The 26,940-nt window shown below is 41.4% G+C and overlaps 3 annotated features.

Annotated features, from left to right (window-relative positions):
* Nucleotides 622-1,189: an enhancer, noted in NCBI's record as "OCT4-NANOG-H3K27ac hESC enhancer chr14:54829199-54829766 (GRCh37/hg19 assembly coordinates)". NCBI's record gives its function as "activates a minimal SCP1, AML or CMV promoter by ChIP-STARR-seq in primed H9 embryonic stem cells {active_cell/tissue: H9 hESC(primed)}" and the evidence as "EXISTENCE:reporter gene assay evidence [ECO:0000049][PMID:30033119]".
* Nucleotides 1,190-1,757: an enhancer, noted in NCBI's record as "OCT4-NANOG-H3K27ac hESC enhancer chr14:54828631-54829198 (GRCh37/hg19 assembly coordinates)". NCBI's record gives its function as "activates a minimal SCP1, AML or CMV promoter by ChIP-STARR-seq in naive and primed H9 embryonic stem cells {active_cell/tissue: H9 hESC(naive and primed)}" and the evidence as "EXISTENCE:reporter gene assay evidence [ECO:0000049][PMID:30033119]".
* Nucleotides 23,432-23,953: an enhancer, noted in NCBI's record as "NANOG hESC enhancer chr14:54806435-54806956 (GRCh37/hg19 assembly coordinates)". NCBI's record gives its function as "activates a minimal SCP1, AML or CMV promoter by ChIP-STARR-seq in primed H9 embryonic stem cells {active_cell/tissue: H9 hESC(primed)}" and the evidence as "EXISTENCE:reporter gene assay evidence [ECO:0000049][PMID:30033119]".

Below are 26,940 nucleotides of genomic sequence, written 5' to 3'. Positions count from 1 at the left end.
CAAAACAACTGCCACACCCCCAAACCAAAAAAAATCCACCTAGTCCCATATCACTTTTACCTTCACAGCCCAGTTTTTCAGTTGAAAGATCTATATTCAGAGACTCTATTTTCTTACTTCTTTTTTATCCTCTGTAAAATTAAATAAGAAAAAGGTTTTTTTTTTCCAGAAGGTAAATATAAAATTAGAAAATCAGAACTATGTTTCTCCTTTAAGAATAGAAACAATTTTTTTCCCTTGCTAGCTAGATTTCTTAGGGTAAGAATATAAATCCCAAATCAGATTGCATTTTGTTTTGACAACAAAGGAGAAAAGCACAAGAACAATCTTATCATTATAAGACTTGTTTATAATCTAAGAAGCACTGGATGCAATTCCATGTGATTTCCTGTCCTAGCTCCTTTCCTCAGACGGTCCTCTGACTGTCCTGCAGATCCTTTGCTGGGCTGTCTCCTAACTCCACATGCTTGTCTTTAGCTGTCTTATTGCTCCTGTGGTTTCAGCTGCCAGCCATCCAGTGAATTCCTAATCACCACCTCTGGCCGTTCTCTGTCTTCTGAGTTTCAGATTCATGTATACAAACACCTCCATCCTGATGGTCCCTGAGCGGTAAAAATCAACATGTACAAGACTGAACTTAGTGTCTCTTTCTTAAATTTGCCTCTCCTCCATATCTCTGTAACCTCACACCTGAGAGTCATCGTAGCTCTTCCTTCCCTGTCACTGTGTATTTAACTGGTGATTTAGTATTGCCTTTTCAGCTTTTTAATACTTCCTGTTTTGGCCTCCTTCTGTCCATTCCCATGCTGACGGCTCCAGTTCAGACCTTATTATTTTTCATCCTTTGAGTTTTCCACCTGCCTGCTTCCTCCTGGTCATACACTTCTCCAATGCCTTCTCCATGTGAATATTTTGATGATGTTGAAGGAATCACTTTAAAATGCATATCTGATCATCTCACTTCCCTGTTGAATACTCCTTACTAGCTCCCCAATGCCCAGAGGATAAAGCTAAAATCTTTAGCATAGCATAAAAGATTAAAGTTTGTTACTTGTTCTCCCTTCCTCAACTATACATCTTAGCTTTCTCAGGGGTCTCAGACTCAAAGGTCTACAGTGGAGGGTATAGTGGTGACTAGGTAGGGCTACTGTGAACTAGAGGATTCATAATCCCATTGAAAAGGGTGAACGGTTGCTACAGACCAGATTTTCTCTTCAACATTCACATGTTGAAATCCCAATCCTTGATTTGATGGCATTAGGAAGTAGGGCTTTTGGCAGGTGATTAAGTCATAAGGATGGCGCTCTTACAAATGGGGTTTTTACCATTACAAAAGAGACCCTAGAGTCCCTTTGTCCCTTCCACCATGTGAGGCACAGCAAGAACACGGCCCTCTATGAATAAGGAAATGAGCCCCCACCAGACACTGAATCGGAGTGCCTTGATCTCGGACTTCTCATCCTCCAGAACTGTGAGAAATAAATGTCTGTTGTTTAAGCTACAGTCTACAGTGTTTTGTTACAGCAGCCTGAATGAACCAAGACAGCCACTCTTTGGCTCCAGCCAATTACTGGTGAGTGGGAATTTGGGCTTAGCGTGGCCAAAGTAACAACTTCTTTTTTCATGAGAAGCTGGATTTTTACATCAAACTAAGTTTACTAAGTTTACTAAGTGTTAGAAACTAATTTTAAAACATTAAAACTCATTTTTTATTTTGAGTCTCACTGTGTCACCCAGGCTGGAGTGCAGTGGTGCAATCTCGGCTCACTGCAACCTCTGCCTCCTGGGTTCAAGTGATTCTCCTGCCTCAGCCTCCCACATAGCTGGGATTACAGGTGCCTGCCGCCACGCCTGGCTAATTTTTGTATTTTTAGTAGTAACGGGGTTTCACCGTGTTGACCAGGCTGGTCTCAAACTCCTGACTTTGTGACGCACCTGTCTTGGCCTCCCAAAGTGCTGGGATTACAGGTGTGAGCCACCGTGCCCAGCCAATCATTGCGTTTTTAAATGTTCATTATTAAAGTGAAAAAAAAAAATATAACCTTTGTACCAAATTAAACACATCTGTGTAAGACTGCAAGATTGATGCCCATGTCTATAAGTTCTTCCTGAATTCTGATTCTTAATCATGTGGAATTGCTTCTGGTACCCTAAATATGTACTGTGCCTCCTCACCTTTGTTTTTGCTGGCTTTCTCTGTTTGGAATGCCCTCTCTCTTCCTCACACTCCTTCCATCCCACTCTAACTCTTATCCCAAACATATGGTAAGGATTTTGAAATATATCCTTATTTGTCAAGACTCCTCTCATGGGAGGGAGGTTGCAGCAAGATGGTGGAGAACTGTTCAGTGATTTTCACCCCAGAGAAACATCAATTTGAACAACCACCTACACATGAAAATACCTTCACAAGAGTAAGGAAACCAGTTGAGAGATTATAGTACCTTGTTGTAGCACAATAACAAGAAAAGATGCATTGAAGTGGGCAGGAAGAACAGTTTTACATGTGTTATTCTTTCTCCAAGCCCAGGCAGCATAGTGCAGAGACAGATATAATTCGCTTGGGAGAAAGAGAGGGAATTGAGCACAGGACTTTGGCTGGACTCCAACACCAGGCCCATAACAATAAAACTCAGCACTGAGAAGGCCCCTCATGGCTCCAGACTCCAGGCTGGTACCCAAGAATGAAGCCTTGAGATCCACCCCAGTCCCAAGCAGGACCACAGAGCCCAAGGCTTCAGGCTTGTGTAGTGGACTTGATCTTTGGCCCACACCACTGCTGAGCAAACATCAGTGGCTCCATGCTTTGATCATGTCTGGCAGCCCTCAGTGTCCCTGGGTGTCTGGTGTATAGCAGTGCAATGCTTGTCACAGCAGGTCCTGGGCTTCTGGCTGTGCCACACTGGCCATAGCAGGCACTAGAATTCTGATGCACCCTGGTGCTGTCCCTGCTGCAGGGCTTTTCCGAACAAAGCCAGTCTCTGAAAGCTAGAATAAGTACCTATTTCTTCAAATATGCTGACATTGGTGCACAGCCACAAGGCTCAAGAACAATTAGGCAAACGTGAGATCCCAAATGGACAAAATGAGATGCCAGTGACTGGTGTTAAAGAAATGAAGATGTATGAACAACCTGACAAAGAATTTAAAATAACTCTTAATGAAACTCTTTGACTTCAAAACAATACAGAGAAACATTTCAATGAAATGAAGAAAATAAGTGACCAGAATGAGAAATGCAATAGAGAGCATCAATAGCAGAACTGATTAAGCAGAAGAAAGAATCTATGAACTCAAAGACAGGTTATTTGAAAATATACAATCAGAGGAGAAAACAGAATAAAAAAGAATGAAGAAAGCTTACGGTTGGTTTTTGTTTTTTTTTGTTTGTTTTGTTTTTTGTTTTTGAGATGGAGTTTTGCTCTTGTTGCCCAGGCTAGAGTGCAATGGCGTGATCTTGGCTCACTGCAACCTCTGCCTCCCAGGTTCAAGCGATTCTCCTGCCTCAGCCTCCTGAGTAGCTGGGATTACAGGCATGCGCACCACCCTGGCTAATTTTGTATTTTTAGTAGAGACAGGGTTTCTCCATGTTGGTCAGGCTAGTCTTGAACTCTCGACCTCAGGTAATCCACCCGCCTTGGCCTTCCAAAGTGTCGGGATTACAGGCATGAGCCACCGCCTCCGGCAAGCTTATGGGATTTATGGAACAGCATCAAAAGAGCAAATACTCAAGTAATAGTTTAAGAAGAAGAGAAAAATAAGGGAGTGGAAAGCCTGTTTAAAGAGATGGTAGCAGAAAATTTTCCAAACCAAAATGTGGTATATATACATAATAAAGAAAGGTGCAAATATTCAGGTACAAGAAGGTCGATGGTCTCCAATCAGATTCAATCCAAATTAGACTACCCCAAGACATTATACTAAAACTGTAAAAAAACCAAAGACAAAGAGAATCCTGAAAGCAGCAAGAGATAAGTAAATAACATATAAGGGAGTTGCAATATGACTTGCAGCAGACTTCTCAGCAGAAACCTTAAAGGGCAGGAGAGAGCGGGATGATATATTCAAAGTACTGAAGGAAAAGTATTGTCAACCAAAATAATATACCCAGCAAATATGTTCTTCAGAAATGAAGCAGAAATAAAGACTTCCAGACAAATAAGAGCTGAGGGAGTTCATCATCACCAGACCTGTCTTACAAGAAATGCTAAAGAGGAGTTCCTCAAGCTAAAGGAAAATGATGCTAATGAGTAACACAAAAACATCTGAAAGTATAAAACTGACTGGTAAAAGTACTAAATTTAGAATAATTGTGGTATACAAATTATTATGAAGGTTAAAAGACAAAACTATTAAAAATAACAGCTACAATAATTCGTTAAGGAATATGCAATTTAAAATGATACAAATTGTGACATCAAAAATTCAAAATGTGGGAGTGGGGAGCTTGAGTAAAAGGGCAAAGTTTTTTGAAGTGGAATCAAAGTTGTTATCAGCTTAAAATAACCCAGTATATAAGATGTTGAGCATTTTTTCATATATCTGTTATTTGTATATCTTTTGAGAAATGTCTGTTTAGGTCCTTTGCCCATTTTTAAGTGGGTTATTTGTTTTCTTGCTATTGAGTTGTTTGAGTTTCTATATATTTTGGATATTAACCCCTTATTAGATGTATAGTTTGCAATTTTTTCTCCCATTCTGTAGGTTGTCTCTTCACTCTGTTTATTGTTTCCTTCGTTGTGAAGAAGCTTTTTAATGTTATGTAATTCCATTTGTCTAAAAAAATACATAGGAGTAAATTTAACCAAGGAGGTAAAAGTTCTGAAAACTATAAAACATCACTCAAAGAAATTCAAGAGGACACAAATAAATGGAAAGATATCTGTGTTCATGGACTGAATAAATTAATGTTGATAAAATGTCCATACTACCCAAAATCACCTACAGATTCAGCATAATCTCTATCAAAATAACATTTTTCACAGAAATTGAAAAAACAATCCTAAAATTTGTACAGAATCGCAAAAGACCCTGAATAGCCAAAACAATTTTGAGCAAAAAGAACAAAGCTGAAGGCATTGCACTACCTGGCTTCAAAATATACTACAAACCGAAACAACATAGTTCTGGCACAAAAACAGACATGTAGACAAATGGAATAGAGTGGAAAGTTCAGAAAGAAATACATGCTTTTACAGCCAACTGATTTTTAACAAATGCACCAAGAACACACAATGGGGAAAGGGCAGTCTCTTCAATAAAGGGTGTTGGGAAAACTGGATATCCACATGCAGAAGAATGACATTAGACCTTTATTTAATACCACAGACAAAAATAATCTCAAAATGGTTTAAAGACTTCAATGTAAGACCTGAAACTATGAAACTACTAAAAGAAAACGGGAAAATCTCCATGACATTGGTCTAGGCAATGATTTTTAAAATATGACCCCCAAAAGCACAGGTGACAAAGGAAAAATAGACAAATTACATTATATTAAAAAGCTTCTGCACAACAAAGGAAACAGTGAAGAGACAACCTACAGAATGGGAGAAAAATTTGCATATACATCTCATAAAGGGTTAATATCCAAAATATATAGAAACTCAACTCAATAGCAAGAAAAGAAATAACCTATTTAAAAATGGACAAAGGACCTGGACAGACATTTCTCAAAAGAAGATATACAAATAACCAACAGGTATGTGAAAAAAATGCTCAATATCACTAATTATCAGGGAAATGCAAATTAAAACCACAATGAGATACTACCTTACCCTGTTAGAATGGCTATTATCAAAGAGACAAAAGGTAACAAGTGTTGGTGAGAATGTGGATAAAAGAGAACCCTCATGCCCTATTGGTGGAAATCTTAAATTAGTATAGCCATTATGGAAAACAGGATAGAGGTTCCTCAAAAAATTAAAAACAGAACCATCATGTGATCCAACAATCCCACTACTGGATATATATTTAAAGAAAATCAAATCAACTTGTCGAACAGACATCTGCACTCCCATGTTTATTGCAGCATTATTCACAGTAGCCAAGATACGGAATCAACCTAAGTATCTGTCAATGAATGAAGGATTTAAAAATATGGTATATATACACAATGGAAATCTATTCATCATAGAAGAAACCCTGTCATTTGCAACAACATGGATGAATCTGGAGAACATTATGTTAAATAAGCCAGGCACAGAAATACAAATACTACATGATCTCATTCATATGTGAAATGTGAGAAAGGTGGTCTCGTAGAGGTAGAGAATATAATGGTGGTTACCAGGATCTGAGCTGGTTGGAGGAGCAGGGGATACAAAATTTCAGTTAGAAAGGATGAATAAGTTTAAGATATCCATTGTATGACGTGGTGTCTATAGTTAATATATTCTTGAATAATGCTAAGAGAGTGGATTTAAAGTGTTTTCACCACAAAACTTATACCTATGTGAGATAATGCATGTTACTTAACTAAAGGTAGCATTCTACAATGTACATATACCTCAAAACAATGTGTTTTACATGGTAAATACAAATAATTTTACCTGTCAACTTAAAATTTTTTTTTTAAAAACTTTCCCCCATGAATCCCTTCTCTCTAAAGCATTTCCTAACATTCCTTTACTCCACTTTAGGGAGAACCAACTCTTTCCTTTGCACTCCAACAGAGTCTGTGGAATTTTTCTTTCCATGATGCACACTCTAAGACTCTAAGCTCCAAGAAGACAGATTTCACGTCTTAATTATCCACTTATCCTCCAGACCTAGCACAGTGATTGGCACATAGTAGGCACTCAGTAAATTTTTGTTGAATGAATAAACTAGACAGTAGTTAGTTGCCAAGATGTATGCTTTCTAAAATTGGGACTAATTTTTATTAAAAAATTGCCAAAATGATACAGCTGAAAACTTAATATCATTCCAAGATCCTCATAAATATTGATGGTTCTTTTGGAAGCTAGTTTCCAGTGATGGTCCCCAGTGAAACATGCCTCCTAGTACTCTTGTGTAGTTCCCTACCCTTGAGTCTGGGCTGGCCCTGTGACTTGCTTTTTGACCAATAAAGTGAGGTGGAAATGATACTGTGTGACTTCCAAGGCTGGGTCAGGTCTTACAGCCTCTATCCAAGCCTCTTGGAATGCTTGCTCTTGGGATACTTCCTCCGGGATCCCAGCTACTGTGCTGGGTGGAGCTCAGGTTACATGAAGAGGCCACATATAGGCTATGTGATGTGCTTTCCCAGACCACTGCTGGGCTCTTGGCCAACAACTAGCTTCAACTGCCATCACAGGAGTGAGGCACAGTGAACGTCAGGCCCACTGAGCTTACAGATTGAAACTCACTCCTCCATTTGACTGCAACATGACGTCCCTGGATGAGAACTGTCCAGCTGAGCCCATTCAACCTTCAGAATTGTGGGAGATAATACTAAAATTGTTTTAAGCCAATAAGTTTTGGACTGGTTAAGCAGCAATGGATAGCCAGAACACCTTTGAAATGAATAAAATATGTTTGAAATTATTAGGTCAGGATAGTTTAAATTGTCTTGCTATGATTGACTTTGGAGTTCTGCGCTACATTATTTCACAAATAACCTACTTGACCTCATGCCTCAATGATTGCTTTTAAGTGTACAGTTTCCTTTATTTAGAGAGTTAGTATTGATATATTTACATAGTTATCTTTAAAAATCTTAGTTAAGTTCTCTAACACATTGATACACACCAAATTTTTAAACAGTGACTAACAGGATGATGAAAAATGACAGTATAAATTCCATCCTATAGTAGCCAGTAAATTTTTATTTTATTAGATTGAAACTAAAAAAAATCTTTTAATGACCCTATTAGTCATTCTCTAGTAAAATAACCTGTCGCAGGATTTAGTAATATTTATTTCACTTCTATCTGTTGGATGGTTCTCTCCCTCCATTTAGAAATTAAACTATAATTTACACACAGTAAAATCATGCTTATTTGTATATAGTTTTATAAAATAGATGCGAAACTATTCAAATGTATAGTTTCTACATTTGACTAATTAGATAGCTGTGTAACTACTGCCACAATCAAGATACAGAATAATTCCATCATCTTCCAAAGTAGTCCTGTGCCCCTTTATAGTCAAGTCTCTTCCCAACCCCTGGCTACCACTGATTTAAAAAAAATAATTTACTGAAGTGAAACTCATATAACATAAAACTAACCATTTTAAAGTGAACAATTCTGTGACATTTAATACATTCACAATGTTGTGCAACACTACCCCTGTCTAGTTTGAAAACATTTCCATAACTTCAAAGTAAAATTCCTTACAGTTATCTCCCTCTTTCTTGCTCCCCAGTCCCTGGTAACTATCAATCTGTATTCTGTCTCTGTGGATTATCTAGTCTGGATATTTTATACAGATGGAATCATATATGACCTTTTGTATCTGGCTTTAACTTAGCATAATGTTTTCAAGGTTCATCCACATTGTAGCAAGCATCAGTACTTCATTCTTTTTCATGGCTGAATAATATTCCACTGTATGTATATAATCTATATTTTTTGTCCCTATAATTTTGCCTTTGCAAGAGTGTCATATAAAATGCAATTATATCATCTATCAGCTTTTGAATCCAATGAGATGTTTTGATCTGTGCTTTTAGAGTGTGTGGATACCTTCCCTATCATTTACTAAACTTTTTTTTCTCATGGTTTTGTGGTGGCATGATATTGTGGACTTATAACTTATGTGTACCCTCCTGCTCTATGCTTTATCAAATTTACTCATTTTTACATTGACGCCTTGCCCTAAGCCTGAACACTCAATGTTAGTCACCATCACTTTAAGGAAAGATCTTTGGTGTGAAATCGGTGAACACAACTTCTGAATCTTCATTTTAAATTCCAAAGCCATTTCATGGGTATAAGCAAGATTTGTGAAGAACACTTTAGGAGTCGGGATTATTTTTCCCCCATAAGACACAGAAGAGAAGAAGAAAACTGTGGGCTGGAGAGGTGAGATAGAGGCAGGAGTAAGTGATCTCTGAGAAAGCAGAACCTTCTGCTACTCACACCCATCCTAGAGAGCAGCGCTGGGGAAGGAGCAGTGTGCTGGTGAGGGAGAAAAGGAAAAATGAGTTGGGCAGACAGCTAAAGATGGGTCCTTGGTAAAACTCCTTCAAACAGAGAAACAGCCTGAAAAATCAAAGCTATAGGCACAAACAGCAGCCTGGGGAAAACTCAGGCTGCAGCTGCACAGATAAGAAAGCAAGACCCAACACAGCAGCCTTTGTTCTTGGTGTAATCAGCAGGCTCCCAGGAAAAAGTTTCTTCCCCTTTTCAGGTATGTACATGGGAGGCTCCATGGGAACTTGCATGGGGAGGGGGTGGGGCCTTACCCAAACATACCCACAGTTGCACAAACAAGAGAAGCTGCACTTTGTGCTTTCCTAAAAAGACATGCCCACAGCTGCAAAGATTAGGAGAGTTACACAGACAGCTCCACAGATAAGGGAAGTTACACAAACAGCTGCAGAGATGAGGAGAGTTTCTCATAAAAGCTTTTGGATTCAACTGTAAAAACGGCAACTCCTCTTTTGGGCCCTCTTTCCATGGCAACACCTCTTTTGGGCCCTCTCTTCTTTCACTTATTAAACTTGCACTCCAACCTCGCCCTTTGTGTCCACACTCCTTAATTTTCTTGGTTGTGAGACAAAGAACTCTGGGTGATACCTCACAAAGAGACTGCTACATTGTGGTGCTTTGGCTGAAAGCCAAGAGGTAACAAACTGTGTAACACTGGGACATTGAGATCCACATGGGCACACAAGGGCAGAGGGAGCTTGAGATGATGTCCAGGATGAGTTCTGGGACAGCATGCCATGCTCTGGGGCTTCCCTCCCACACTGGTGGGATGCCTCATACAAGTAAAGACAAGGAGCGTAGGTATCAACACAGCCAACAACCTACCTGGTTTCCTGCCCTTGGAAGAGCACAGTTTCATATCACTCAAGAAGGGCTTGCGAATTAGCCAAGAGGAAGCGTGAGGGCAGGTGGGCCTGAAGGTGTCCCTTGGTAGAAAGACCAGCATTTTGAGTGCTCACTTTGTGGCTGGAGACGAGATAGGAATTCAGCTCCCCCAGCACATGCTGGCTCTGGAGGGTCATCAGATCTGAGGACCAAACTGAGCAGAACATCTCAGCAGTTGCCAGTGTAAGGCAGATGATGGCCACAAGGGAGGAGATGCCTTTTCCGGGTGTCACAGTGCTACACAAGTCCCCAAGAGCTTAGAAACGACCTTGAGAAGAGGAGGAGGAGGAGGAAATGCTGAACTGTTTTTAAATTTGAAACTGCTAACGTACCTGGAGTTAGCTAGGAGTGTAATTTCTGCCAGCAGTTGGAATTGGAACTTGATAGAGATGAGGAGTGGCAGACTTACTAGCCTCTGTGTGCCTCAGTCGTTTCAGCTGGCAAAGAGGGAGGTGGTCATAGTACCTCCCCATGAAGGTTACTGTGAGGGTTAAATAAGGTAATGTGTGCACAGAATTTAGGATGGTGCCTGGCACACAGCAAGCATTCAGTAAATGTTTGCTCTCATTGTCTGCAAAATGCATACCTACATACCACGAACAAACAAACTGAAAAACAAAAAGTGACAGAAAATACATTGTTGGAAAAACTTACCTATGGTAGTTCTGTGGTATTGACAAGTGAACCAGGAAGTCAGACTTCCTGCCCTTTGGAGCTTTCAATTTAAGACATATTCAAACTTTTGACAGTCCCTAATGTTGCCAATAAAGCTAAAGATGAAATAAGTGTTGACTGCGGCCAGGCGCGGTGGCTCATGCCTGTAATCCCAGCACTTTGGGAGGCTGAGGCAGGCAGATCATGAGGTCAGGAGATGGAGCCCATCCTGGCTAACATGGTGAAACCCCGTTGCTACTAAAAATAGAAAAATTAGCCAGGCATGGTGGCACGCACCTGTAGTCCCAGCTACTTGGGAGGCTGAGGCAGGAGAATCAATTGAACCTGGGAGGTGGAGGTTGCAGTGAGCCGAGATCATGCCACTGCACTCCAGCCTGGCAACAAAGCGAGACTCAGTCTCTTAAAAAAAAAAAAAAAAAAAAAAAAAATTGTTGACTGCACGTTAAGCATCAGCCAATTGAGATGATAAGACTGGTTATTTTAGGAAGGCTTTATAGGGTCTTTGCATCTGGGGAGTAACCTGGGATCTTTTATTAATTTTTTTTTATTATACTTTAAGTTTTAGGGTACATGTGCACAATGTACAGGTTAGTTACATATGTATACATTGACATGCTGGTGCGCTGCACCCACTAACTCGTGATCTAGCATTAGATGTATCTCCCAATGCTATCCCTCCCCTCTCCCCCCACCCCACAACAGTCCCCGGAGTGTGATGTTCCCCCTCCTGTGTCCATGTGTACAGTAACCAAAACAGCATGGTACTGGTACCAAAACAGAGATATAGATCAACGGGACAGAACAGAGCCCTCAGAAATAATGCCGCGTGTCTACAACTGTCTGATCTTTGACAAAGCTGAGAAAAACAAGCAATGGGGAAAGGATTCCCTATTTAATAAATGGTGCTAGGAAAGCTGGCTAGCCATATGTAGAAAGCTGAAACTGTATCCCTTCCTTACACCTTATACAAAAATCAATTCAAGATGGATTAAAGACTTAAACGTTAGACCTAAAATCATAAAAACCCTAGAAGAAAACCTAGGCATTACCATTCAGGACATAGGCACAGGCAAGGACTTCATGTCTAAAACACCAAAAGCAATGGCAACAAAAGCCAAAATTGACAAATGGGATCTAATTGAACTAAAGAGCTTCTGCACAGCAAAAGAAACTACCATCAGAGTGAACAGGCAACCCACAAAATGGGAGAAAATTTTTGCAACCTACTCATCTGACAAAGGGCTAATATCCAGAATCTACAATGAACTCAAACAAATTTACAAGAAAAAAACAAACCCCATCAAAAAGTGGGCAAAGGACATGAACAGACACTTCTCAAAAGAAGACAGTTATGCAGCCAAAAAACACATGAAAAAATGCTCATCATCACTGGCCATCAGAGAAATGCAAATCAAAACCACAATGAGATACCATCTCACACCAGTTAGAATGGCAATCATTAAAAAGTCAGGAAACAACAGGTGCTGGAGAGGATGTGGAGAAGTAGGAACACTTTTATTTTTTTTTTTTGAGACAGAGTACAGTGACATGATCACAGCTCACTGCAGCCTTGACCTGCCCGGCTGAAGTGATCCTCCCACTTCAGCCTCCTGAGTAGCTAGGACCACAGGTGAGAGCTACCATTGCTGGCTAATTTTGTTTAGTTTTTGTAGAGACAAGGTCTCACTAGGTTGCCCAGGCTGGTTTTGAACTGCTGGGCTCAAGTGATCCTGTCTCAGCCTCCCAAAGTGCTGGGATTACAAGCATGAGCCACCGTGCCTGGCTTTCACCTGGGATCTTACCTTCAACCTTGTACCTTGATGGGCTTGACTCAGTGTAACTCTTCCTATAATCTGACACTCTCTCTTTCCTTTCCATATATATTACATGCAAAAATACTTTTCTGTTCAGCCAACCTTTTCAGTGGTTCAAAAGATGTATTGGTCGGCCGGGCACAGTGGCTCACGCCTGTAATCCTAGCACTTTGGGAGGCCAAGGTGGGTGGATCACGGGGTCAGGAGATCAAGACCATCCTGGCTAACACGGTGAAACGGTGTCTCTACTGAAAATACAAAAATTTAGCTGGGCGTGGTGGCAGGCACCTGTAGTCCCAGCTACACGGGAGGCTGAGGCAGGAGAATGGCGTGAACCCGGGAGGCGGAGCTTGCAGTGAGCCAAAATTGTGCCACTGCACTCCAGCCTGGACGACAGAGCGAGACCCTGTCTCCAAAAAAAAAAAAAAAAAAAAAAGATGTATTGGTCAATTTGTTAATAGCATATCATTATAAATGTGTTATTGCTAGAAATTAGCAGCCAAAATATAACACGATAGAGTGTTCCTTGTAGCTTCCTTGCTCATCTTACATTGCCCATTGTAACATTTTTAGGATTGTTAACCATATCATTTCTTCATGTTTCACAGTACTGCACTTATAATTAGTGTCTATCAGTGTCTGTTATCATACTGTCCTCTTGGCTTTCAACCAGTTAATTATTTGTTGGATTGCTTTTCAGAGTACTGGCTGCCTTCCCTATGACGTGCTGCCTCCCTTCCCGCTGATCATCTTACTCTTCTGTTCTTTGCTATTTTCAGACACTATTTTGCACTCATTATGCACAAGTTCAAACTTTAGTCATGTGAAGAGAGCTGAGTGCCTTGTCTAATTTTTCAGCACCAAACCAAATAAACAAAAAACGCATAAAGTCCATTTAAAAATATCCACACTGCATCAGGGAACAGAGAAGCTTTTTCTCTCTCATGTGAAATCTTCTCCAGGAAACCACCAGGACTGAGGCCCCCATGGCGCACACATGCTTGCTTTAGGTGCTTACGTTAAGATGGTATTTCATTAGTTTTGGATGGTCCCTTCCACAGAGCTCAGATGCTATGCTTCTTTCTATTTTAAAAGGGGGGACGAAAAGATTGGCTTTTCATCCAAAATACTCATGTTCTTCTAGCATATTAAAATTCATTTGTGACTAAGTCATTATAGTGAAGTACTTGGAAACCTTTCTATTCTAGAGAGTTCTGGGCACAAACACATTTACAGTGTGCACTAATGCCAGGCTCATGTCCTCACGTCCTCCAAGGGACAGGGATGAGCTGGGTCATAAACCAAACAGTGGGACTCTGGCAATCCCTTTTAGCTCAGGCAGATGCAAAATTGAAGACCCAAAAGAAGCCTTCCAAAGGTCACAGCAGGTTGCTCTCAGGAAAAGAGAATCAGTAATTTATTTTTAAGCAATCTCTTAGCCTCTGTGACAGTTATGTTTCCTTGTAAGCTGCTTTGGAGCCACTCACCACTCTGAAATTGCAGAGTAGGCTACGAACAATCCGGCTTCGTAAGAACATGCAAGTGAGGACCCACGAGGAGATATTCTTGTGCTTTTTAAAGTGCTTCTCTCACTTTGCTTCCTAAACTGCCTTAATTGAGGCAAGGGAGCCAACATGAGTGAGTTCCTTCCCGCGGCTTGCTCTGCCGTGGAGTTCAAGGATGCCTGAGCCCTCAAAACACGGCGCGGTGCAGTTGGGCTGATGGGAAGTCCTGAACAGCTTGCTGAATTATTACTTCATTCTCGGCTGAAGCAGCAGGAGGCGAGATGATGAGTGAAGGAAAAAACCCATGGACTCCAGCGTGGGCTGAAGGAACCAAAACAAACACTGAGAAGACAGGCCAATACTGAAATCTGTTTCAAGGATGGAGCGCGCAGGAATGTTTCACCATATTTTGTCTAAGGAACAGATTTCATTTTTTAATGGCTGTATTAATCAGTGGAAGCAGAACGGCAGGAAGGAATCCGTTTTCCCCTCTCCCCAACGCCTCCCGTGGCTCGCCCGGACATTCCCCCCATTCTTTGTACTGAAGGTGGCCTGGAAGTTTTAGAGGCGTGAGACAGGTTCTGAACTCGCATGCCCTTTCTTTCTCCTTCCCGAATAAATTTTGCGTAAGAATATTTGGGACAAGGAATCCACCATGGCGGGGTGCAATAAAAGCGTTTCACAAATTATGATTTCCCATTCTCTAGGCAGTTCAGCTCTGCCTAACAGCTCTAATTTCCTAGACAAATAGTCCTCCCTGTCCTCTCCAGCTGCTCACAGGCGCCTCTCTCTGGGTATTCTTTTTAAAATCCCTCTCCTGGGGAATTTTTAAAAAAGCTTCTCGCACTTTTTCATGCGATTTTCATGGTTCCATCCATCTCCCCACTTTTTTGGTCAAAGCCTTCCTCCCAAATATCAATTGCTTTTTCAACCCGTCCATACTACTGCTCAGCTGTTGGTTGAGCTTCTCCTAGCCTCCTGCTGCTGTCACTGGGCCAATGGAAGCCAGTCCCTTGCCTCTTTGTTCTATTATTTTATGGCAAGATAATAAACTTCTACATTTTTGAAGTACTTTTCACCGACTTGATATCAAGTATTTTGATAATCACAAAGTGATCAAACACATGTTCTCTTTTTCCAGTTACATAATGAGATCAAATATTGATTAGCAGTGAGTAGATAGATGTATATTGTACACACACACATACACCCGACCATCCTCCTTTTGGCCTATGGAGACTGTTACTCCAAAGAGCCGACACATTTGTGTTGACATTTCAGTCATCCAAGAAAGCTGCCAATGTCACTTCCTTTGAATATTTTCCTTCAGTTTTCAGGAAAGAGTTGGTGGGACTAGCTTATCATGGATGGCATGAGCTGAGGGGATGGTAATTTTTCACAAAAGTAGACATTGTTCGAGGCTAATAGTAAGCTGTAATCTAGACTCATAACTGTAGAGGGCGCTCTTGACTTAATAATGACAGCATTGCCATTGTCACTCCAGGAAGCTGGGAGGTGACAGAGTATCCTTTTATTACCAAGTATTTTATGGGGAAAGAGAGAAGGTGCCTTTTGGAATAGACAAGAAATCCATATTGTTTCATATTACCTTTTATAACATGTCTTCTTAAGAATAAGCTCATCATCTAATTCGTAGCCCCTGGTTACAGTTTTGTTGAAAGTGCAGAAGCTTCCAACTAATGAGAATGAATCTCATCAATGTCTCATACCTTGTGTTGGTCCTGCCACTTGGTAATGGGTGCTTTGCGTGCTGGGAGCTGGGAGCGATCTTCCAAAAATGGCAAGTGGGGTGGGCACTCCTTTGCGGAAAAGCCTTCTGTGGGTTTCAATTTCATTTAGCATGAACTCCCCACTTCTTACTGTGCCCTACCAAGGCCTTCTAGGATATAGCTTCTTCCTACACTTCAAGCTCTCTTTCTCTCTTCCTTCCCAGGGGCCGAATCTGGGACAGCACATGGACCTTGCCAAGCGGGGCACACTCTGTGGCATCTGCATTTGCTCTTCCATCTGCACAGTGAGCTCTTCCGTGCATCTTCCAAAGGCTGGCTCCTTCCCATTTCTCAGTCCTCTGGTCATAGAAACCCCTTGGAGGGAACTTTTTTGACTACCTCATCTAAAATAGGCCCGGCCCCAGCCAGCTTTTCTTTTTTAATTAAAAATTTAATTGTGATATAATTCACATAAGATTTCACAAAACACCACATTCACCATTTAAAAGTGTACGATTCAATGGTTTTCGGTATATTCACAATATTATACGGCCATCACCACTATCTAACTTCAGAACATTTCCATTGTCCCCAAAAGAAACCTCATACCATGAAGAAGTCACGGCCCACCTCGCATTCCTCCCAGCCTCTGGCATCCACTCATCTACCGTCTTGTCTGTATGGAATTGCCTGTGCTGGGTATGACACACCCACTTCTTTTTAAATGTTAAAGCACCCTGTTTGTTTCCTTCCTGGCATGGATGTATTTGCTCATTTACTTGTTTACCATTTATTCTCACAATCTATGAATAAGTCGCAGAGTTTCTTCACAATTCAGTCTGCCCAGCCTTAAAGTGAGCCCAGCCTTTCACCATAGGATCCAATCTATGTGGTGGTGCAACCACTTCTGGGGCTACTGTGGAAGAGACTCGTCTGTGGTAGCATGCCCTCCAAGAGTTCTTGAGGGCTCTATATCTTTTGAAGGATTTTCTGCTTTTCACTTGCAACCCACAGAGTCATAACTGATTTAATCACCTTCTTCAGAGTACTGCGTGCATTTGTAGAAGACTCTTTAAGGCCTGGGCTTCTTGCTGCAGCAATAAATACCAGTAACCTTTACAGAGCATGGGCCGTATGTCAGGCACAGGGATATGTGCTTCACTTGTATTTTTTCCACTTGGTTTTATTACAGTCCTGTGAAATAGGTATAATTATTGCATCCCATTTTAAAGATGAGAGAATTGAGGTTAAGGGAATTGGCACATTTTACTCAGCTAGTTTGTGGCAGAGTGGAGACTGGAGTCCCAGCAGTTAGACCTCCAGGGCTCATGCTCTTAACTATTCTGCTCTTTCTTCAGCCTCTCAGACTTCAGTCAAGTGTTAGCACGAAGTGACGGTGTGATGTTTGCATGCGGCATATGAATATTATTGCTCCTGGTAAGATTGTTTACGATGACATCATAGACAAAGAAATGTTTCCTTGAGTTCCTAGTATAGCAGCTGAGCAACAGTTTTTGTTATATGGGATTCTTTTCTGCCCTTTAGTTTGGGAAGTGACCAGCAAGGTGTCCTGGGAATGCCAGGGGGCTGTATAAGTCTTTGCGCATGGATGAAAGGAAGAGGCATGAGATGGAAGCTCATGCTTCCAGAGCAGATGGCCCTTGGAAGAACTTGGTTTCCTGCAGGAGGGTTGACTCCCAGGAGAACTACATCTCAACAGCTTAGCCATGTGTATTAGTCAGAGTTCTCTGGAGAAATATAACTAATACATGATATGTTTTATATATATATGTGTATATATATGTATATATATATATGTGTATATATATGTATATATATGTGTATATATGTATATATGTGTATATATGTATATGTGTGTGTATATATGTATATATGTGTATATATGTATATATATTCATATATATGTATATATATGTGTGTATATATATGTGTATATATATTTAAAGAGATTGATTTTTGAAGAATTGGCTTATGTGATTACAGAAGCTGGAAGTCCCAAATTTACAGGGTGGACCAGTAGGCTAGATAACCTGGGAAGAGCCAGTGCTGTGGTTCAAGTCTGAAGGCTGTCTGCTGCAGGATTTATACTTGCTCAGGAAAGGTCAGTCTTTTGTTCCATTTAGGCCTTCAGCTGATTGAATGAGGCCCACCCATATTATGGAGGGCATTCTGCTTTACTCAAAGTCCACTCATTTAATGTAAATCTCATCCAAAACCACTTTCACAGAAACATCCAGAATAATGTTTGACCACATATCTGGGCTCTGTGGCCCAGCCAAGTTGATATAACCATCAAGGTGAGGTACTCAGTGCTCAGGTCCAGTTCACCTAGGATCTAGGCTGGAAGGCAAGGAGGGCAGTGTTGTTGGGAGGGCATTCTACCTCCTACAAGGTGAGGGGAGTCTGGATCTCATCTACTGTAAGGGATGACCAGTCGGCTCTCCAAGGGTGGTTCTGGTGGAGAAAGATGTGTCTCAGCCATCTTGAGTTTGCCCGGAGACCAAGCACTTGTCAGAGACCCACCTTTGGGTTGGTGGGTAGAAGAGCAGATGGTCTTTGCACTTTCTCACTGGGTGGATCTCAGGGAGTAAGTGATTATTCACCCACAGAAGGCCCACTTGGTGCTAGCTTGAGCCGTCTCTGGATTGTATTCATCCATTCAACAAATACCTGCTGACTGTTTATTACATGCCAGGGCTCTTCTAAGTAGTGGGGATACAGCAGTGAACAGACAAAAATCTCTGTCCTCAAGAAATTTACATTCTGGGAGTGAGAAGAGACAGACATCTAAAGAAAATAAAGAAGTAAAGTAGTATGTTGTAGACCAGATAGTGATAAGTGCCATGAGGAAAAATAAAGGTGAGAGAGGAAATGGGGAATGCCGTGGTCAGTGGGGTGGGGGTTAAGGGGGGTAGGGGTTAGGGGTGCTGGTGGCTTGTACTGTGATGTAGGGTGGTCAGGGAAGGCCTCCCTGTATAAAAGGTGCCTTTTGAGTGAAGAGCAAGTCATGAGGATAACAGGAGGAAGGGAACTCCGGGCAGACGGCACAGCAAGTGCAAAGCCTCTGAGGAAGGACTGTGGCTGCTGTGTCTGAGGACCCCAGAGGCCAGACGGCCTGGGACAGAGTGGGGAGGAGGAGCATGGGGGGAAGTGCAGTGAGAGAAGACCAGGACCAATAGGAGGCCAGAGGGAGTGGGGCCCCAGCACCACTGTGAGGCCTGGCTTCTAATCTGAGAGATCCGGAAGCCAGTGGAGGGGTTTGTGTGGAGGAGTGACACGGTCTGGCTGCTCTGCTGGGACAGACGGTGGGGTGTGTGTGGGAGGGTGGAGGGGAGAGCCGGGCAGAATCAGGGAGACTCTTCCTGGAATCCAGGGGAGAGATGGTGGTACCAGGGACCAGCGTGTTGGGGAGAAGTGGCTGGGTTCTATATCTGCCTGGAAGTTCAGGCTGAAAGGATCTGCGGCCTAGAGTGAGGACTGTGAAGTGTGTGTGTGTGTGTGTGTGTGTGTGTGTGTGTGTGTGTGTGTGTTGTTGAACAGGGGAGGTTTAAAATGTACCTTCCCATCCAGCCCTCTCCTGCACAACCTCACATCAAGGTTGGAAGGGGATGGTCTTTAGACTTTAGGATTTCTGCCCTCAACACGAGTGTCTGAGAACTGCCTTTGGGGGCTGTTGTAGGAGGTGAAACCAATTTGATCATAATGGGAGAGAAAACCCCTCCATGGCCCAGGGTGGATTTACCTGATCACCCATCTTTCCCGGTCCTTGGTGCCGTGTGGACATCTGCGACCCAGTGGCCACTCAAAGGAAATGACCTCATGAGCGTGCCTTTCAAGCCACACAGGATGGATTGGAGTGCGACATTTGGCCGGTCGCTCTGGTTTACACCAAATGCAACAACTTGTGGCCTGCAGATCCTCAGTATAAATAGCTGGAAAAGCCTGACCTTGACAAGCTCATTTCTCATTCCTTTCTTGTTACAGGTAATAGAGCTGAAAATGTGGTTTTAATTATAGCACTAATGAAAACTGAAAATCCAGACAGACACTTGATGAACTCTGCTGCGCTTTATATTACATTTGTGCTAACTACAAAGTGCCCAGCTGGGTGTAACATGATCCCCTTTCCTCGAGCATCCGCCTGACTGAAGCTGTATAATTGATGTGTACTTTGGCAGGAGGTCAGCTTAAAGGGTTTTTTTTTTTTTTCTTTAAGATTTTTTTTTAAACATCTTTAACGGTACTTTGGGGAAAGGGGTACGTTTATTACCTGGGCTGGGAGAACATTTCTCTGGGTTGCCTGACATGCCCCACCCCCATTCCAAACTTCTTCTAGAGCATTCCGTACAGCACCTTCAGGAGAAGCTCCAGGGCCAGAAATGAGCTGAGAGACTGACTTTAACTTGGAGCCCTGTAACTTTGTTGTCGGCCGGTGACTTTACCACGCAGCCCTCCTCTCTCTATTCCTACCTGTCAGAAGGACGTGTTCAGAGTCTCTGTAAGGGACAGTTTCGGTAGCTGTGACATGGAGGCTGTGACCCATTGGCCTTGCATGCTGGCCTTCGTGTGCTGCACTGCCTCTCTCCCCAGGCCATGGGGCTCCTTACACGTAGAGGTGCTGAATAAAATACAGGATGCCCAGTTATATTTGAATTTCAGATAAACAGCAAATGCTTTCAAATTATTTTTGTTTATCTGGAATTCAAATGTAACTGGTCATCCTGTAGTTTCATTTTTGAATCTGGCAACCCAGCTCATAGAGTTTCTGTGGCTGGACAGGGTCTCGGAAGGGACTTAGGAAGAATTCCTGCCCTGACTTAGAGACAATGTAAGGTTAACTCTGCTTTAGCTAACCACAGACCTTCATCCACATCCCATCAGACTACCACATCGCGCTCTCACCCTGCTCCTTAGGCCACACCCTGCATTCACTCCTGTGGTTCTAGATGATTGGAATTCATGGCACAGCCAACCTCAAAAACAATGAAAGGTTCTGTAAAGGCCCACTGGTGATCATGGTGTCTTTACTGGCTGGGTGGGTGGCCAAGTTACATAATCTCTTTCTTGTTTAGTTTGTAATCTTTTTGTTTTTATTTACATTTTTGAATGGGTAATCTATTCATATTACTTACAGAGATTTCAATAAAACATGAAAGGTATACAGTAAGAAGTCTCCCTTTCCCTTTTCTTGTTCAGCCATCCAGTTCCTTCTCTTGTAGGCAACACATACTATTAGTTTCTTATTTTTCCTTCTAGAGATATTTATGCATAGATACACAAATAAGTATATATCCTCCCTCTTCCCGATTTCTACACAGCTGTCAGCATATTGGACCCACTGTGCTCATTGCAGTAAAAGCGTCTTCTTTTCTTCACCTCCAATATCTTGGAGATCTTCTCATACCACAGCATAAAAAACTTATTATTTTTTTAATGGCTGCATTGTGTGGTCATATCATTATTTATTTATTTATTTGAGACAGGGTCTGGCTCTATCACCCAGGCTGGAATGCAGTGGCGTGATCTCAGCTCACTGTAGCCTCGACTTTCTAGGCTCAGGTAATCCTCCCACCTCAGCCTCCCCAGTAGCGGGGACTACTGGCATGTGCCACCACCCCTGGCTAATTTTTGTATTTTTTGTAGAGGTGAGGTTTTGCTATGTTGGCCAGGCTGGTCTTGAACTCCTGGGCTCAAGCAATCTGCCCACCTTGGCCTCCCAAAGTGCTGGGATTATAGGTATGGGCCACTGTGCCCAGCCCCATCATTTAATCAGCTTCCTTTTGATGAACATTTATGTGGATTCCAATTGTTTGCTGTTACACACAGCAATGCAGTACATGCATTATTTGTATTTATGTGAATGCCTTAGGTTAAATTCCTAGATACGGAGCTGTTGGGCCAGAGTACATGCATACATTTGTAGTTTGCCAAGTTGTTCTCCATGTTAGTTTCCCATAGCTGCTACAACAAATTACCACAAATGCAGTGGTTTTAAACAGCACAAAATTATTATCTTACAATTCTGGAGGCCTAAAGTCCTCAAACCAAGATGTGGCAGGGCTGTGCTCCTTCTGGAGGCTCTAGGGGAGAATCCATTTCCTTGCCTTTTCCAGATTCTTGAAGCTACCTGCATTCCTTGGCTTGCGATCTCTTCCTCCATCTTTAAGGCTGGCTGTGTGGCATCTGCAAATCTCTCTTTCTCTGGCCACTGCTTCTGTTATCACAGCTCTGCTGGCTCTGACACTCCTGCCCCACTTTTGTAAAGAGCATTATGATGATATTGGGCTCACCTGGATAATCCAGGACACACTCTCCATTTTTAGATCTGCAACTTTAATCACTTATGCAAAGTTCCTTTTGCCATGTAAGGTAATATAGTCACAGGTTACAGGGAGTAGCATGTGGACATCTTTGTGGGGTCATTATTCAGATGGCCACACTCTCCATGGAGTTTGTCCCAATTTAAACTCCCAACACAGCCCTAACTCGCAGAATGTGCATTCAAAATTTCTGAATCTTTACCAATCTGAGAGGTTAAACAAATGGCATCTCCATGTAAATTTTACATAGCATTTTTCCTTTTATGGGAATGGGGGACCTATTCTTTAAGAATCATCTCTTTTTTGCTTTCTTTTTGAATGTCTATTCAAATACTTGCTTATTTGTCTATCAGGTTGTCAGTTGCAAAGTGATTATATGTTGGTGAGAGTAGATGGTGTTTCTGAAAAACAGGTTGCACTTTTTTTTTTTTTTTTTGCAGTTTGTCATTTGTTTTCACTTTGCTTTTAAAGGCTTTTTCACCATGTAAAAGGCTTTAGTTTTATGTAGTTGAATTTATCGAATTTATCTATGGCTTCTGGGTTTTGTGTCATAGTTACAATGACCTTCTCCACCTCAAGGTAATAAAAGAAACAGTTTCTTTTTAAATTTAAGTAAACAGAAAACATACAGTCTTTTTTGAAGAGGTAGAAAATACAGATTGACAATAAAAAAGAAAAGCCACCTAAAACATATACAGTATTCTGTGGTATATTTTATGTAAGAGGGGCCTACAACATTATGCTTTGTTTGAATGTGGGAGCAAGGCAGTGGGTCACTGAAGCTGGCCCACATTCAAGGGTAGTTGAGCCTATTGTGAGCATCTCTTCCCAACACTATGTTTGGTAACATCAATTTGGGAGTTTGAAATTAATCCTGTTGAGGGTGTTTACAGTATAGAAGTTGGCAGAAGCTACAAATCAGAGCTTTTTTCCCTAGCGAACTAGTTGTGAAACATTTACCAGCACACCACTAGGGCTAGAGAACTTGTTTTCAAAGCTTTTTTTATTTAAAAAAACCCAATAACTCAGTTTACTTAGGGTTTTTTGTTTGTTTGTTTGTTTGTTTTCTGTTTGAGAATAACTGAATGGCTATTGGTAGGACTAATAGGGATTGTATGTGGGTAGCTTTAGATCAGTGGTGCTTCTGTGCATGAGTGTGTGCAAACACACACATTTACTAGACAATCACGTGGTGCATTAAGTCTGGTGACCTGTTTTTTTTTTGTCTCTTTAATGGTATTGTAGCCATCTTTCTACCTCAATAAATATTTATCCGAATCATTATTTTAATGGTTGCATTTTATGCTGCAAAATGATTTATTGCATTTTGACCAATCCCCTGTTGAGACACTTATGAAACTTCTGTATGTCTCAGTTTCCCCCTCCAGTTGCTAGATGAGGCTATTCAGTTCTTCTCAAGGATGTTGGGATTATCAGTGAGAAAACTTTCAAGGAGTGCTGTGATACCCTCAGATATGGGAGATCTTTCCAGTGTTGGCATCACTCTTCTGACTACCCCCAACTGGGCAGGCCTTTTGGTATAACTAGCTCAGACCCCTTAGAAATGTAAATTCTGGAGCTATCTATGTAGCAACAGCAGCTCAGGAAGAGCTGAGCTAAATAATGGTAGCACTTAAGATGTGGATCCCAAAACACAGAAGCCCTGCCATGAGACAGACAGGGAAGGTGACAGTTAAGTCATAGATAACAAGACGAGGACAAATTCCATCAACTCACTGTGAAGTTTCAGACAGGCCAGCGGGAATGGAGGATTCAGGGTGGGGGATAATTAGAGAAGATATTTTTGGGCTAAGAGACAAAGTGGAAATGACATTTCCTAGTTAGCATGGACTAAAAAAGTGCCACACAATAAATCTTTCTCAGATTATCTTTTTTTTTTTTTTTTTGATCTTGCTCTGTCACCCAGGCTGCAGTGCAGTGGTGTGATCATAGCTCACTACAGCCTCAAACTCCTGGGCTCCAGTAATCCTCCTGCCTCAGTCTCCCAAGTTGCTGGGACTACAGGTGCATGCCACCATGACTGGCTATTTATCATTATTATTATTATTTTTTTTGCAGAGACAGAGTTTCTTAGGCTGGTTTTGAACTCTGGCCTCAAGTGACCCTCCTGTCTCGGCCTCCCAAAGTGCTGGGATTATGGGTGTGAGCTGCTGTGCCTGGACTGAATATCTTCAATTCTGTGTTTTGGAGAATTTAAGAGAAATATGAGAAAGGAATGAGTAGACTGATTTTAGTGAGGAAAAAATTGGACATTCTTTAAGTTCATAAACATCTTTGAACAACCACTTTGCCAGACATCAGCTTGATTTTGTTATATCCAGAACCACTGGCTACTGGTGATGCTTTTGATGATGAAATACAGTATTACTGCACTCAATTTAGTCCACAGAGTTATGCTGTGATGTTATTTGAATAACGTAATTGCTCTGAGTGGGATTACCATCTACTAAAGGGAGGAAGGTGCTCTGAACATTTTCAACAAGTGCTAAGAAAGATTATTAATATGTAAATTTAAAATTAGTGCCTACACTGAAGGTTTGAAAATACTCTTTCGGTGTTTCCTTGACCTTAAGGACAAACAGGCACTACCAAGGTGAAATACCATAACCTACTCTGGTTTTTGATTTCTTAAGACATGTTGTTGCCACTGGAAGGCAGTGTTGCTTAGCCACCGTGTGCATCCAAGACATTGGGCAGATCTGAAGGTTTGTCCTGAATTTGCAAGGAATCCTATTGAGCTAAAGAAGCGCTTTTCTATATGCCTCTTTTCAGAATCTGGCAAAGATCACGGGCTGCTCATGGATGCACCTTGCTTGTCGGGTGTTTCCTTTAAGCAGGAGTGTTGACTTTAATTATGTGAAATCAGCCTGTATGTACTAAGCTGGTGAGCCTTGATTCCCTTTGGTCTCCACCTTTCTCACTTGTGAAATGGGACCATCAGTCCTCGAAACCTAACAGCATAATGCAAACACAACACAACACAACAGAACAACCAAACAAACAATGGCGGGGTTTCCATACAGTCACACGAAAACTGACCAGTTGATCAACGAATTATAGAGGTATTCTTTCAGAAATCTCACTTTGACTATTGACTCTCATTAGACAAAATTATTTCATGATTATCCTAGTTTTTTTTTTCTCCTATCACCTACCATACTCAGTAGAATTCTAGGTAAATCATGAGTTTTCTCAAAGAAAACTGATTTAACAATTAAACACATATTCTTCCTGCATTTTTTTCTCCTTATCAACAAATCTTCAGGTAGGGTTTTGATTTAGAAGCACACTTCAGGATGCAAATTAGGGAGTACTCTCTTGATTTTTTAATAATATACGTCTCCCCTTTAGACTATTAATAGTAACCTTTATCTTTGTACAGTGGATTCAAAATTTAAAGCCTTTGAATATATTTTCTCATTGAATTCTCCTAACAGTCTGTGAATTTGGTAAGGGAGGAATCATGATTTCTATTTTGATGCTCAGGAAACAAGTTCAGGTTGAGTGAAGCTCCCAAAGCCAATTAATCAACTTCTGGTTTTAAACTGTGCTTTCCCTCTTCTTTGTATACACTACGTATGAACAAAGGACCTTCGTGACACAGGCTGTGGTGGGAAGGCTGGAATTATAGGCTTTTATTCACAGCATTTTTTGGTCCCATCTTTCTTCCTTCAGTTCATAGACAAGCTTACCTCATTTTGGTTTTGTCAATAAAGGGTCAGCACAGCATCATTTTTCATGGACTTATGGTGAATAAGGGGCTCCCTATGTTAAAAGCTTTTCTGCTTCTTAGGGGGCTTTAATCTAAAGAGTGTTTCTGCAGAGATGTCTTTCACCTGAAAGACTGTGGATCACTTTTCAAACGCGGAATTGTCTTATCTGAAATACATTTCTACCTGTGCTGAAAGACACAGGCATAATCAATGCCTTGATCATAGGAACAATCTTTATCAAAAGTGCTTTAGATCCTGAAGAGCCTAAGGGTAAGAGAGAGAGCGGCCCTTTGCTGGTGTCAGAATGTGGTCAGGAGCTCAGCTCCCTCGTGGACTCGGCTCGATGCAAGGTTTCAGCAAACGCTTCGGAATCCCTCTAATCCCTTCCGTGTTTTCAGCATCAGGTAATTAACATATTTCTAGATGCAGGTCACTTTAGTTCAATTGTTGCCTTTATATCCTGCAGCGGCTTAGTTTTAGTGTCATTTTAAAAACTGAAAGCTGCAGTGTACCAGGTAGTGAATTAGTTAATGAGGATTCTTTTGTCTATTATACTGGCTATCAATATGGATTGAAAGTTAAATTCACCTTCCTCATTGCCCTCCAGCAAAGTTCATGAATGAGGAATAGTCCCTCAGAAGCTGCTTAAAAAATCAAAGTCAGACTTACTATTAATACCAGTATTCAGACATAGTTGGTAAGACCTATAAGGTAGGTCCTTTTATCCTTGACTAATCCAGCTCAGAGCTAGGAGTTTTGAGAAGACTAGATAGATGGATCACAGCTGACATTCTTCTTTTTATGTTAACATTGTACCATGCTAGTGAAGTCTCTCACATTGTGCCTATATAATTTAATAATATATCACACACATATAACTTTTAATTTAAAATTTTAATTTTTCTCTTTTTTAAGGCAGGGTCTCACTGTCGCCCAGGCTGGAGTGCAGTGGCACGATCACGGCTCAAGTGATCCTCCACCTTAGCCTCCCAAGTAGTTGGGCCAACAGGCATGCACCACCACACCCAGTTATATTTAAAAAAAATATATTTTGTGGAGACATGATCTCAAATGTTTCCCAGGCTGTTCTCAAACTCCTGGGCTCAAGTGATCCTCCTG

The sequence above is a fragment of the Homo sapiens genome, chromosome 14 (assembly GCF_000001405.40).
Source record: "Homo sapiens chromosome 14, GRCh38.p14 Primary Assembly".
NCBI lineage: Eukaryota > Metazoa > Chordata > Mammalia > Primates > Hominidae > Homo > Homo sapiens.
This window is presented reverse-complemented; position numbering and strand designations above follow the sequence as displayed.